Consider the following 15384-nt stretch of genomic DNA (forward strand, 5'->3'; position numbering starts at 1 on the left):
CTTAGGAAAAAGCAGATCCCAGTTTGTTGCAAATGTTTCTTACTGTGTATTTTGCTCTCCCTCTCCCTTTCTCTAATAGCTCACTGAAATTCAAAATTCCAGAAAGTTTGAGATGACATTTCCATTGGTGTTCAGTTTTTGAGCAACTGTTTTGCCCATATTTGCATGTCTCTATTGTAAAAATTTCAATATCATCACATAAAGCATCCTAAGTTTCTTCCTGTACAGAGATGACAACAACATTGTTAGAGGAACAAAAATCTATGGTTTTCCCAGCAGCGTCTGAATGAGGGCAATCTGCGTAACTACACACAGGACTTCCATCCCAATGAAAACTCCTATCCTTTTTCAGTACAACTGTGTAAGGGTTTGAAGGAACGTGATAAATCAATACATCTCTTGACCACCCATGCTTAGAACCAACAAAGAAATAGAAATAGGAGTCAGAGAGAGGGAGACAATACTAGCTATATTTCTTGAAAAAAATGTTAGCGGGCTAGGTAACAGAAAACATCAAAATAAGACAGACTTTCCAAACCAGTCAGGCTGTGTTAGATAAATCCCGTAGCTACAAAACTTAAAGCACAGGAGAATAGCACAGAATCCAGCCCTTCTCCAAGACAAAATGGAGCAAAAGGGCTGAACCATACATGTTCAGGGCTGTCTTCTAAACTCAATCTACCACACTCCCTTTCGGGGGAAAGAAGAGTAAAAGAACAGGGAGCAATTCAAATGAAACTTCTTCCACCTCTGAGAGATGGATTAAATTCTCCGTTAGCATTTTTTGTTTTCTTTGGCTTCCTTTGTTTCTTCAAACCATAGTCAGCCACAATGTGCTGTTTTCATGAACGATACTGGCCAGCCTGGAAGCACAGACCTGCTTCCACCTTGATGAAGCTGCTTCCTGCATAGCAGACATTGCTTCTGTGGATGGATCTTCCTGATGCCACTTCAATGCAGTGTTGATTTTGTTACATGGTCCTGAAATGTGCTAAAATGGTTCATAAGTATCTCCCACTCTGCACCAAAGACTGAATGTCCTGTTTTCCACCTACATGCTGTCAAGGTGCACCAGCCAATAAGCTCATCTCCTCTTCAGTGGGTCGAAAATGAATGTTAAAGGTGTGCCTGTTAAAACTGAAAGACCAAAGAAATTAAAGTTGAAAACTAATTTTCTTACTCTTGTGGTTAGATGATTTATTGCTCAAGACTTTTAAAAACAAACTCTCCAAGCCCCTCCCCAAATTCCAGTGTTGTATTTTGCTTAGCCTTTTCCCGAAGGATTCCCCACGCAGGGTTGTTCTGGGTTGGGGGTCTGTCTTCCTGCAGCTGAAGTCAGACCTGAATTGCAGGGCAATGTGTGTCATTCTTTTCAAATTCAGAAGATGAAATCAGTGAGTCTCTGTTCATTCTCAATTTTAAGCAGGACAAACAATGAAACAAGAAGGATAACCCAACTGGCCCTGTATGGTAAAAGTTTAGAAAACAAAATCAGTTACCGAAAATAAAACCATCTACCTAAACACTACTCTTTGGGATCATGGAAGACCGCAGGGAAGACTCAATTACTCAAGGAGGGAGAATGGAAGGAAAAATCTTCTTAGCCAGGGTGCTGGCCAATCTATGCCGTATGTTCACAGTCCACATAATAACTCAATTGAAACAACTCTTCATTAAATGTTTACTTTTAATAGCATATTTATATGGAAAAAAGTCACCCATTGTACCCCATCTTCTCTTTCTTAATGGAATTTCAATCACTGCCGCTCTCTGGCAAAGGTTATAAATTTGTGATGCTAGCAGCCCAAACCTGGGCCTCATTTCAAACCACCTTTATCCCACAGAACATAGTTAAACCTCTTAATTTCCATTTCCTCTTAGAGCTTTTCATTTCTGAACCATAGAGACACATGATGTTAAAATCTGTTAGAAGCTGATGCTATTGCTCCTTTGTGTGGAATTACTGAGTCCTCTAAAATCTACCCCATCCACGTAAGTCCTAATGGTTTTAGCACCCATTTGTGCTAAACGGCTCCATGTCCCTATTTTTGTGTCAGCTATCAGGTCATCATCGGTAGGCTCCTGACACTACTGTTGATTTTCCTGCAAGTGAAGTACATCTGCTCCAACTTCCCAGGGTAATCTTCGCTTATCATTTTCGGATATTTCACTACTTCTTCCCAGAAAGTGTCATTAAACCTCCTTGTAAACTCGGTTCAGCTCCTTCAGTGGCTGCATGGGGTTGATAAGATTTCTGGACTGAATTGTTTCTTCTATTCCTTTTCCTGTACTTTCTGGTATAGTAACAATTCACAATATTACATCTTATGGGGATACCTACATGCTTATTGATTACAAATCAGTGAGTTCTGGGCCCAGTAAAACCATTCACTCATCATTCAAACTACTCACTTTCATCTACAAAACCTAGAGATGGGTAACCCCACAAAACAAGTTGTTTTTCAACACACCACCATCAACAACAAAAAAACAAGCCTGGACTATTATTTTCCTGCCAGATTCCCCTTTCAGAGGCTCATTTTGATTTGCATTCTTTTAGCGGTCTTATTCCTCAAATTTCTCAAGTTATTTTCTTAGGGAATAGGCAAAAATAGCATGCCTACCCTTAATTGCTGTCGCCGCAAACTCATGGAATAATTTTTTGAGAGTTTGATCTTTCCAAACTCTTCTAAAATTTGTACACATTTTAAATAAACAGTAGAGCTGTCCCAATCTATAAGGTACATTTTCCCAATGGCTCTAAATACAAGCCTCTTTTTAAAACATCAGTGTCTTGCATTCTGAATCCCTCTGCATGCATCATCTTGGTCTGCTCTCTATGCATTATGCTATGTTTCTTGACATCCTTGTCATAAAAAAATACACTTTTATCTTTTAGAGCAATTTGAGGTTCATAGAAAAATTGAGAAGAAGGTGCAGAGATATCCCTTCCCCAACACGTGCACAGCCTCCCCTATTATCAACATCCCCACCAGAATGGCACATTTGTTAAAATTGATCAACCTGAGACACATCGTTAGCCAGAGTCCATAGTGTACATTAGAGTTCACTTTTGGTGTTGTCTACTCCACGGATTTGTACAGATGTATAATGGCATGTATCCATGATTATAGTATCATGCAGGGTATTTGCACTGCCCTAAAATTCTCCTGTGTACTGCCTACTCATCCCTCTCTCTCCCCTAACCCCTGGCAGCAGCCACTGATGTCACTAATTTTTTTTTTTTTTTTTTTTTTTTTTTTTTGAGATGGAGTCTCGCTCTGTCACCCAGGCTGGAGTGCAGTGGTGCAATCTCAGGTCACTGCGACCTCCGCCTCCCAGGTTCAAGCAATTCTCCTGCCTCTGCCTCCTGAGTAGCTGGAATTACAGGCGTATGCCACCACACCCAGCTAATTTTTGTATTTTTGGTATAGATAGGGTTTCACCATGTTGGTCAGGCTGCTCTCGAACTCCTGACCTCATGATCCACCTGCCTCGGCCTCCCAAAGTGCTGGAATTACAGGCATGATGATCTTTTTACTGTCTATACAGTTTTGCCTTTTCAAGAGTGTCATATAGTTGAAATCAAACAATATGTAAACTTTTTGGATCAGTTCTTTTCAGTTAGTAATATTCACTTACAGTTCCTCCATGTTATTTGGTGGTTTGATAGCTTTTTTAGTGGTGAATAATATTTCACTGGATGTACCATTGTTTATCTAACCACTCTACAGAAGTACATCTTCATTGCTTCTAAATCTTGGCAAATATGCATAAAGCTGCTATATGGCAAATATGCATAAAGCTGCCATGTGCAAGTATGTGTGTGGACATACATTTTCAGCTCCTTTGGATAAATGCCAAGGAGTTAAATTACCGAATTGTACATTTAAAAATATGTATAGTTTTGTAAGAAACTGCTGAACTTCCCTCTTAAGTGGTTGTACCTTTTTACTATTTTGAATCCCTACCAGCAATGAAAGACAGTTCCTGTTCTTCCACATCCTTATCCATATTTGGTGTTGTCAGTGTTCTGAATTTTTGGCATTGTATTAATAAATGCACAGTGGTATCTCTTTGTTCTAATTTGCATTTCTTTAATGATGTATGATGTGGAATAACTCTTCATGTTCTTATTTTCCATCTGTATCTTCTTTGATGAGGTTGGCTTCAGCCCATTTTTAAGTGGATGGTTTTCTTCTTGTTAAATTTTAAGAGTTCTTTGTATATTTTGGAAAACAGTCCTATACCAAATGTCTGTCACAAATATTTTCTCTCACTCAGTGGCTTTTCTTTTCATTCTCTTGACAGTGGCTTTCAAAAAACAAATATTTTTAATTTTAATGAAGACTACGTTTTTTGCTTGTTTCATGTTTTTTTTCTGTTTTTCTTTTTTATTGTTGTTATTTTCTTTTTGAGGCAGGATCCCACTCTGTCTCCCAGGCTGGAGTGCAGTGGCGCCATCTTGGCTCACTGCAACTTCCATTCCCCAGAGTCAAGCGATCCTCCCACCTCAGCCTTCAGAGTAGCTGGGACCACAGGTGCGCCACCATGCCTGGCTAATTTTTGTATTTTTTGGAGAACATGGTTTTTGCCATGTTGGCCAGGCCGGTCTCGAACACTCCTGGACTCAAGCAATCCACCTGCCTTGGCTTCCCAAAGTGCTGGGATTACAAGCCTGAGCCACCGTGTGAAGCCAGAAGTCTACCTTATCAATTCTTTCTTTCACAGGTTGTTATTTGCTTCAGTCATTTCTATGGAATAAGAACTAAAAACAAACTATTTTCAGAATACCTTTTTTAAGAAGTCATACTACTCATTTTTTTTTCCAGCTTCAACTTCAAGATGACTATTTTTTTTAAATTTAGCTTCGTCTAAGGTCCCAACATTTCCTATAATAAATATCTTCTCATCTTTCTGCCAAATCGTTTTTTTAATTGGTCTTCATATTTCATATTTTCAACAGATTCAGCTCCTCCTTGATTTTCTAAGTAAACTTGAGTCTTAGAGACAATATCTATCGACAGCTTTTTAAAATAGTGTACTTGGCCTTTGGGTTTACAGTAAATTTATTGAATTATTTAACTACCTTAATTCAGAAAAATGGTATATATATTTGTTTGTAATAAGTGTCTACTACTTTTAAATTTTGTATTGAGATATGATTTGCATAAAAGTACAATGTTTAAAAGTAAATTTTTAGTGAATTTGAAAAGGTATAACCCATACTTGAAACTCATACTTGAAAAATAATAGAGAATATTTCCAGCACATCCACTGTACTCTTTTCTGGTCAATTTTGTCCCCAGACTTCTAAAGTGAATTGGAAGTTCTGATTTTAAATCACAATACATTATCTTTGCCTGTTCTTAAGCTTTAAATAAAAAAAAATCCTTTCCTTTATTCTACCAACTTGTATTTTCTTTTCTTTGGTTCTAAGGTAGAAGCTTCGTTTTTTGCTTTTTGTAACAACAGACATTTAAAGTTATAAATTTCTCTCTAAGGGCACCTTACTTGCATCCCACAAATTTTGATAGTGTTTTCATTATCACTAATTTGGAAATATATTATTTCTCTGAGTTCTTTGATCAATCGGTTATTTAGAAGATTGTGGTCACCTTTTAGGGAGTATTTTTTAGTTATTTTTTGCTATTTCTAATTGAGTTCTGTTACGATCAGAGAACATATTCAGTATGATTTCAATTTTTTAACATCTATTGGTTTATTTTACAACCTGGCATTTTTCTCTCTTTGTGAATATACCATGTGTACTTCATAAGTGTATTCTGCAATTGTGATTATACAGTTCAATAAAACTCAGTAGGTTAGGTTGCTAAGAATATTATTCAAATCTTCTATATCCTTTTAAAATCTCGTGAGTGGAATCTTAAAATCTAGAATTCCATGAGTCTGTCTCTTAAATCTGTTATTAAAAACCTTGTTATAGTAGCATGAATATTTAGAATTCCTTTTTGAAATGGAGTCTCGCTCCCTTTAGGCTGCAGTGCAGTTGTGTGATCTCGGCTTACTGCAACCTCTGCCTCCTGGGTTCAAGCGATTCTCCCGCTTCCACCTCCCGAGTACCTAGGACTACAGGTGCCTGCCGCTATGCCTGGCTAATTTTTGTATTTCGATTAGAGACAGGGTTTCACCATGTTGGACAGGCTGGTCTTGAACTCCTGACCTCAGGTGATCCACCCGCCTCGGCTTCCCAAAGTGCTGGGATTACAGGTGGGAGCCACTGCACCCGGCTGTAGGATTTGTTTTTTTGATATTGATATTTTTATCTTTTTGAAATATGCTTCTTCATGTCCAGTAAAAACATGTCTCCTACCTTCAAATCCTTGATATCATTACATTCCTATCTATTATATTGGATCAAAGATACATTGTATCTACATACATACACATATAAACACATTATATATAAAGGCTTTAATATTCTGTAAACAGTATGTCAGTGGATCTTTTCAAACAACCTAGAAATCTCTTAAAATGTTTAGCTTATTCACATCAAATGTAATTATTGATATGATTGGGTAAAAATCTTACATCAAGAGAGTCTTACTCTGTAGCTCAGGTTGGAGTTCAGGGGCTCACTGCAGCCTCAACCTCCCAGGCTCAAGCAATCCTTCCACCTCAGCCTTCCGAGTAGCTGGAACCACAGGCATGCGTCACCATGCTCAGCTCATTTTAAAAGTTTTTTAGAGATGGAGTCTCTGTTGTCCAGGCTGGTCTCAAACTTTTTGCCTCAAGTGATCCTCCAGCTTTGGCCTCCCAAAATGCTGGGATTACAGGTGTGGGCCACCACAACTGGCCAGATTATTACATCTCTTATTTGTTCATTTATTCCTTATTTCCTACCATTTTTGATATTAATATTTCTTTTCTTTTTTTTCTTTTTAGTATTTTAATTTGTCTCAAATTAGTCTTCAGAAATATGTCCTTGTGGCCGTGTGCGGTGAGTCATGCCTGTAATCCCAGCACTTGGGGATGCCAAGGCCGGTGGATCACTTGAGGTCAGGAGTTGGAGAGCAGCCTGGCCAACATGGGGAAACCCTGTCTCTACTAAAAATACAAAAAAAAATAGCTGGGCCTGGTGGTGGGCACCTGTAATCCCAGCTATTCAGGAGGCTGAGGCAGAAGAATCGCTTGAATCTGGGAGGCAGAGGTTGCAGTGAGCCAAGATTGTGCCACTGTACTCCAACTTGGGCAACAGAGGAGGACTCCATTAAAAAAAAAGTCCTTGTTTTACTTCTTAATAGTTGCTCTAGGGTTTCAATATATCTTTTAATTGATTTTCTATCATTTTACATTAAATAAATTATAGAAGTAAAATTTTTCAGTCCTTTGTTTTATCATATATTTACTTCTATATATGTTACAAGCCTCACAATCTTTGCTATTATTTTTTGCTTTAAAGACCCAGTGGTGGCCGGGCATGGTGGCTCATGCCTGTAATCCCAGCACTTTGGGAGCCCAAGGTGGGTGGGTCACCTGAGGTTAGGAGTTGAAGACTAGCCTGTCCAACATGGTGAAACCCCATGTCTACTAAAAATACAAACATTAGCTTGGCATGGTAGCAGAAGCCTGTATTTCCAGCTACTCCAGAGGCTGAGGCAGGAGACTTGCTTGAACCCAGGAGGCAGAGGTTGCAGTGAGCAAAGATGCGCCATTGTACTCCAGCCTGGGCGACAGAGCAAGACTCAGTCGCAAATAAATAAATAAATAAAATAAAATACTCAATGGTATTTAACTAAGTAGAAGGATGCAGTTTTTTTTAAATATCCATATGTCATCACTTCTGACACTATTCTTTTTTGTTGATATGAATTTCCAGGTGTAGCCATTTTCTGTATCACTTTGTAGTGTTTCCATGGTTCACTTTTTTTCTCTGCGTTTGTTTGAGTTCACTGTTGCATGATAATTTCACTAGTGATCCGCCTGCCTCAACCTCCCAAAGTGCTAGGATTACAGAGGTGAGCCACTGTGCCCAGCTGGTGTGATTGTTTTTGGATAAGAAGTCAGCCATCATTTTCCTTGTCCCACTGTATGTATTGTGTCTTATTTCACTGCTTAAAAGTATCTGTTTATCTTTCATTTCCAACACTTTAATAGTGATCTCTCTTTGTGCTTTTATTTTTATTTATGGCCTTTTTGGGACCATTTATGCTCCTTACTATGTGGCTTGATGTCTTCTTCAGATTGATAACAATTTTATCATATTTTCCAAATGCTTTTTTATAAATAAGAAATATCACCCTAGAATGAAATATCATTCTAGGACTAAATATTAGATGATATTTTCTCACAGGTAGTAAATGTTTAATTCATGTTTTTTCGAACTTTTTTCTCTGATTAAATGGACACAATTCTATTAACCTGTTATCAAGTTAATTTATCCGTGTTTCTGCCATGTCTAATTTGTTGAAATTTATCCAGTGTAGTTTTATTCACAAATTGTTTTTTTTTTTTCTAGAAAGTTCTTCTGGTTCTTTTATTTCTCTTCTGAAATAAACTGTCTCCTTACCCTTTTATATCTTTTTCTGTAAATTCTTTAAAAAAATTTATAATATTAAAGGTTTTTATCTGCTAATTCCAATAATTTTGTCATCTATAATTCTGCTTCTATTGACTGCTTTTTCTTTCATTATGAGACATATTGTTCTGCTTTTCTGCATAACTCTTAATTTAAAGAATCTAGATATTACATATAAAATAATAAGTGTAATATTTTTGTCTCATTTTTTTCATTTTCCCAGAGACTACAACTCTTTTTTTCTATATATTGTCTGGCATTTATGGTAAGTAGAATAGGTCTCATCTGTACCTTTAATTAGATGAATTCACCTGTGAGTAGTCCCAATTCCACTCTCCCAAGCTTTCACATTTAAAAATGTGCAAATATTTAACCTGGGATGGGTTGACTACTATTTTAGATATTTTTCGGGTTTTATTCTGATACGGCCCCTGGATTCAACCACTGTGAGAATGTCTGTGACATAATTTACTTACCATTTCTTTTCCACTGATGCTTTCTAGTCATAATTTTAGCAGTGTGTGTGTGTGTGTGTGTGTGTGTGTGTGTGTGTGTGTGAGACTTGCTATACTGAATGTTTTATTTTTGGATTTACATTTCTTCCGATTCCAGTTTATCTTGCCATCCCACACTATCTTCTAAGGCTTGATTGATTTCATATTATTACTGTTATCTCAGTCTGGTACATCCATTATCAGATACTCACACAAACTCCCAGGTGTGGAATCTTTCTTGGTTCTCTGTTTCCTTATGAAGAGATATTTTTTCTCTGGAATTTAGTGCACCAAGGCTTATTTTTATCTGCTACCTTTTACTGTCTCCATAAGAATATATAAACTTATTTTGTCTGGGTTTTGCTTTTCTGTAACCATAGGAGTATTGTTCTTTCAGATGTATCTACGACCTAACTAGTATTAGATACTTCCTATTTCTTCCTATCCCGTTAAGAAGACCATTGCTTTTCTTTGGATTAATACATAGTTTGGGTCCTGAGATCTTAGCTCAGGAACATAATTTACAGAATTAGCAAATTGAAAGCTAACTCAAGAGCATGTAGAAGATAGTGGCTAAAGGACATTCTACTTGAATTCAGAGTTTGTCCTTCAATGTTGCTGTCTAGTGGCCTTGAAGACAATTCTGAATGTCTTCAAGAATGTGGCAGAGGTTCTATATAATTCTAGAACTGTATAGTTTTTCTTAACATGAAGGGTTTAAACTAGAACTTTTCCTCTCTAGGGTAAATAAAATAGTAATAGCTTGCACTTACTGAAGGCTTCCTATTTGTCAGAGTACGTATGTAGCTAACTGGTTTCACCTAAAGCAATCCTAGGAGATATTTAATATTATCATTTTAATTCATAGATGAGGAAAATAAAATAGAAAAGTTCTAATAATAATTTCACAGTTCAAAATGGCAGCACTGGAATTTGAACTTGACTGTTTCTTTCCAGATTCTGTTATTTAAATAGCTTTGTTCTATTAGCCCTCCAGGAGTTGCCCACGAGAAAAACCACAGTAAAGTAAGCACTATCATTGTCTTCCTTTCATGGAGACCTTTTAATGGGACTAAAAGTCTCTTTAAGTGCAATTTTACTGAATGTGCCACTTTTTAATGACGCTTGGTCCATGCATTTCAAGATCTGCTATAGAATAGGTTATGTAAAACTGGCTTGTGTGTGGGTTGCTAATCTACCTCTTGTTAGGTGGCAAAACCTTTGTGCCTGCTGACATGAAACAACCATTCACCTGTAGAAACACAGGCTTTTATCTTGGAGAAGACTGCCTCATGCTTCAGTGACTGCAAGTTCAAATGCCTCAGGATCCTGCCGCGAAAACTGGCGTCTATAGTGACCAGTCCTGGAACCATCAAAAGCATCTCTGTTGGTTATTTCAATCCCAAATTCCACTCATTGTCAAATACTAAAGAGTCTCAGTGTGGGTTTGACACTCATATTTTCTACCCAAATTTGGATCAACTAAGAAATGGACAAGAATCCAGCAAATTGCTATATTGCAGATAAAGTCTGGGTTGGAAGATGATCCCCATGTATTTGGAATTAATGGGCTACCTAGTACATAACCATGGTAATACAGGGAATGGCCCCTCCAGCCTCAGATGGGGCTTGGAACATGTCAGGACTCTCTCCTCCTTACCCTAGATGCAAAGCCTTAGGAACAGCCATGACATAGCTGTATGGGGCAGGTGTTGCTGTAAGTAGAGCTATCCCAAATAAAAGAAGATGAGTTACATTATGTATCTAATTAGCTAACAAATGACCCTAATAATACTCCAAAACAAGTGTGATGTGTTCTCTCACGGGACGGGGGTGGTGGCTCACACCTGTAATCCTGGCATTGTGGGATGTCGAGGAGGGCGGAGCCTGAGCTCAGGAGTTCCAGACCAGCTTGGGCAACACGGTAAAACCCCGTCTCTACTAAAATACAAAAAATTAGCCAGGCGTGGTGGCACGCGCCTGTAGTCCCAGCTACTCAGGAGGCTGAGGCAGGAGAATCGCTTGAAGCCGGGAGGCGGAAGTTGCAGTGAGCCGAGATCGAGCCACTGCACTCAAACCTGGGCGACAGAGCGAGACTCTATCTCCAAAAACAAACAAACAAATAAAAAACAATTGGGGCAGGAAGAACAGATGTGTTATTCTAACAGAATTTCCTCTTCCCAAAGGCAATAAAAGTCAGAGATAAGCATAATCCACAATACACTTGATTATGTCTTCTTGACATTTGTCCCTGCCTGATTCTCTAAGTTTACTTTTGGAAAAGCAGATGTATCACATTCATTCCACTGTATAACAGCTAGTGGAAAGGAGTGTTGCAACTATGTACCACAGTGGAGGTACATGTCATCCTTCTGAATTATGTCATATTGAACTTCAAAAGATTTAACAAATTCTTTGAGATTTTAAAATCTTTTAATTTCCTCAAGAATTCAAAATTTTACCTAGGGAATTCTCAGCAAAATCACCAAGCACTGGGTTTCATGGTGAATATGCAGACTTTCCATTTGAACACTTGGAAGAACTTCTTTTACGTTCCTCTCAGGACATAGAGGACCTTATGGTCCATTCTCCTCCCCCAATTCAATTTTCTTTCAGGAGAGGGTCAAAAAATCACGTGAGGTTTAATGTCAAATACCATCTGAAAGCGTTAATCGTCTTAGATTTACCTGGAATTAAAAATAAGTGAATCCAAGAAAATGGCATAAATTTGGAATTTTTAGGCATCAATCAGTGAGTAAGGAGAAAGGGGTCTTCCTGATGTCATTTAGATGAGAGTCATCTTCTGTGGTCTCACATAGCTTTTGTTTCATCATCAGGTAAAACTAATTTAAGGAAATCCATAAAAGCCTTATCCCTTTAACTCTGAGGCCCAAAGTTTTGCATAATATCAATTTGTTTTCTGGAGTATTACCAAGGTCATTGTTTGGCAGATTAGATTATCAGTCAAATTGGGTGTTAAATTTCAAGACTGCATATTTGGGTGCAATAATCTAATATATAGAAAACTCTATCAAATTTTTAAAAGATGTAAATCAATATATAAATTGCTGGAAACTGAAGCACCTGTGCCACTTGGTACTTTTTTTCTCTCTTTTTATAGAGGATCATTTATAAATAGTAAAATAGAACAAAATTTATGGAATGGGCCCACAAAAACACAAATGCTGTCATGAATACGTACACAGTCCATCACCAGAAGGGCTAGCTGAAAGAAGTGTTTTGTTTTTGTTGCTGTTTTAAATCTTCTGTGAAAATGTTTATGGTGAGATTGTCTGTCTGTTCCCTATGTAACTGTCCATGGGATAATTCGCTGCTTGAGTGTAGCTAAAGAAATAGATGTTTATTTGGTTTTGTTTGCCGATTGATCTGTATGGGTGATGGCTTTTGGTGACAACTGAAATGTTTTCTAATTTTAATGACTCATTTTCATAATGTCCAAAAATTTAAATCTATATTCATTAAAATCCCAATATACTTTGTGTAATCATATTTACTGTATGTGTATCTATGACTGCGTTTGTGGTTTTGTGGGCTCATTACATGTTTTATCTTATTTTATCATTTAAACATATATTCTTCCATTGTTTTTATATGTATGCTACCTTCTACTTTTTAAAACAGACAAAAGAATATGACAGTAAAAATTTTAATTTCTGAAAATTATTCCATATTTACCAAATTGTAACAACTTGCCAATTTATAAAATAATAATCCCAGTGACACAACTCATAATATATTGATAAACATGTTCAGAAAGCTCATTTTTCCCCTACTAAATCTTGAGATTATCATCGTGGGTCAGTGAATGTCTCCCAGAGATGAATACACATAGCCCTTCGAAATGATTCTTTGTTCCTGGATGAAAGGTCTGTCTGGCTCTACAAACATACAATGAATTTGATTTAAAAAGAAATAGTGTGGCTTCTCTCCAACACTTGACCTCTTCCCCTACAGCTTATTCTAGAGTCAAAAAACGTTTTTTTTTCCTGTATCTCAATTATCTCTGTACTGTCAATATTTGTGGGGATATGCCATTTCAGATTTTAAAATAATTTTTGTCATTAGAGTTTTTTAAAAAAATAGATGCTTCAGGCAAGTCCAGATGATGATTGTTTTGACTTCAGCAGTTCAACTTTCAAGGCCTGTGGATTTTGTGCTTATGGTACCTAAAACACTGCATAGGTTTTTGCAGAGAATGCTTCCCACTCAGAGCCACCAAAAAAGCCAGAGGAGACTTCATCCAACAGTCAAGCCTACACCTTGTCCTTGCCCTACAGTACCAGTGGTGTTGAAAACATCGTTTCCATTGCTTTGTTTCTTAAAAATGTGGAATAAAATAAAGATGTAAAGTGTTTATACATTATTCAGAGGTAATTAAATGGTAAGTAATGAGCTAAAAAGCCTGAGTATATTGGATTCTGTGATTCCTTGACCTGAATTTATGTGTAAGTTCACCAAACAAAACCTGTACTTGAAAGCTTGACATAACCACAGACATATAACACATCATCCTTTGTTATTTACTTATGTAAAAGATTTAGGATGGTGGAGATGCAGAGAGGTTCACATGTAGAATTCTTTCTTCAGATTCACAGATGAAATTTATTTTCTTGGTATTGTTTGCTCCCTTTAAAAACAAATACGCCTTTCCTATATATATACCTACTACAGTGCTTTGTAAAATACGATTTTGAAATCATTTATGCATCATACAATTACTTTATTATGTTGGAAGGTAATTTTAAAAATGAAATATGAAATTAGAATAGATAAAAATACAGTAGAAAATGCAGAAATATATTACACATAGAATAAGAAATGTTTAGTAAACTTTCATTTCAATTATGTGTGTTTATGCAAATTCATGCATAAATTGTGTTGTAATGACAAAATATCATTTTACCATATCATAATGGTAAAATATATTTTTGTGTGTGGAATAGGGGCAAAAGTGTTTGTAAGTTACTGATTTAATGCCTAACAAGGCGTGGTTATATAAACAGCCAATAGCTCATTTGTAGAGTAGACATTGATCTATAAAACATATTAAACACCTCAGGATTATTTATCTACAGTATCAGAAATGTGTCAAGCTTGATATAAGAGATCAATCCATGTTCTTAAGTCTAACCCTAAGCCTTAACCTTAAGTGGTTTAGAATTAAAGATTAGCCAGGCTACATATTTAAATTTTGCCACCTAGGACTCTTTCAAGATGCCTGAAATAAACCCCAAGTTGTGTCAATGTTCCTTTCGATAGTATTGATTGAAAATATCCTCTATGCCAAGCCCTAATTTAGACACTGGGGACATAGCTGTGAAGAAGTCCTTACCTTTATTGAATTTACAGTCTATGAAAAAATAGGTAATAACAATGAAGCCAATTTTGATATAGGTAGGGATATAAAAATGATATTTAAATATGATATAAAGCAGCGTAATAAATGGACCGTAGCCATGGGAAAGTGTTTTAGATAGGCTAGTCTTAGAATGTTTCTCTGAAGAGGTGACATTAAGGAGGAAATGTAGTATCAAACAGAAGAAGCCGTGTGTGCAAAGTAGAAGGTAGCAATGAACCTGGTGTGTTTGGGGAACAGTGAAAAAGCCAGTATGGCTGAAATGATAATGATCATGGGTTTGTTACAATACATAGAAAAAATGTGGACAGAACTCAGAACAAGTACAGCTTTCTCTAACTTTTAAGAATTTTGGACATTGTTTTGCAAGTGATGGGAATATTTTGAAGATTTTGAGCTGAACAGTGATGTGGTCTATATATTTAAGAGATCTTTGTGACTGTCTGAAGAACAGATGATGAGACGGCAAGCATTTGAGGAGGAGGTCGACTAATGAGTCTGTGTAAGTGGTCCAAAAGATAGTTGAAAATGCTTCAGATTAAGGTGAGAGGTTGTCACACCGAAGCTGTAGTTGTGAAAAGTGCTCAGAGCTAACAGAAATACTTAATTTGGGATGGAAGGGAAAACAATATTTTATGGACATTTTCCCTGATTAAACGGTAATGTCTTTATTATTGTAGACTAAAATTAAATTCTAAGCCCCACCCAAATGACTGAATGAGTCATTTTTTGGAGAAGGGGACCCCAGAGTATCCTTGAAAACTGAGTTCTCAGCCATGATAGCATGGTGGGGTCAGACTATCCTCCCCTTGCTACCCATGATTAGGCTTTCTTCCCTAAGAGCTCAATAGGAACCGGCCCTTTCAAAAGACTCCACCACTGATCTCAACCAATCTCTGGTTGCTGCTCCCCCCTTCTTGCCTGATAAGAAGCCACTGACCATGGACTGTTTCTGGCTAGTAAAGGGAGCATGC

The 15384-nt window shown here is 37.1% G+C and overlaps 2 long non-coding RNA genes across 2 annotated transcripts in view; one reads left to right on the forward strand and one right to left on the reverse strand.

The window, feature by feature from the left end:
• The window catches only part of LINC01098 (long intergenic non-protein coding RNA 1098), a 261994-nt gene that overhangs the window by 82839 nt on the left and 163771 nt on the right, over positions 1-15384 (forward strand).
• Positions 451-15384, reverse strand: part of LINC01099 (long intergenic non-protein coding RNA 1099) — a 95891-nt gene continuing 80957 nt past the window's right edge. The window contains exon 2 of the long non-coding RNA NR_108092.1: positions 451-1463. This is a non-coding gene — a long non-coding RNA (long intergenic non-protein coding RNA 1099). The remainder of the gene's footprint in view (positions 1464-15384) is intronic.

Source organism: Homo sapiens, chromosome 4, assembly GCF_000001405.40.
Source record: "Homo sapiens chromosome 4, GRCh38.p14 Primary Assembly".
Classification (NCBI taxonomy): domain Eukaryota; kingdom Metazoa; phylum Chordata; class Mammalia; order Primates; family Hominidae; genus Homo; species Homo sapiens.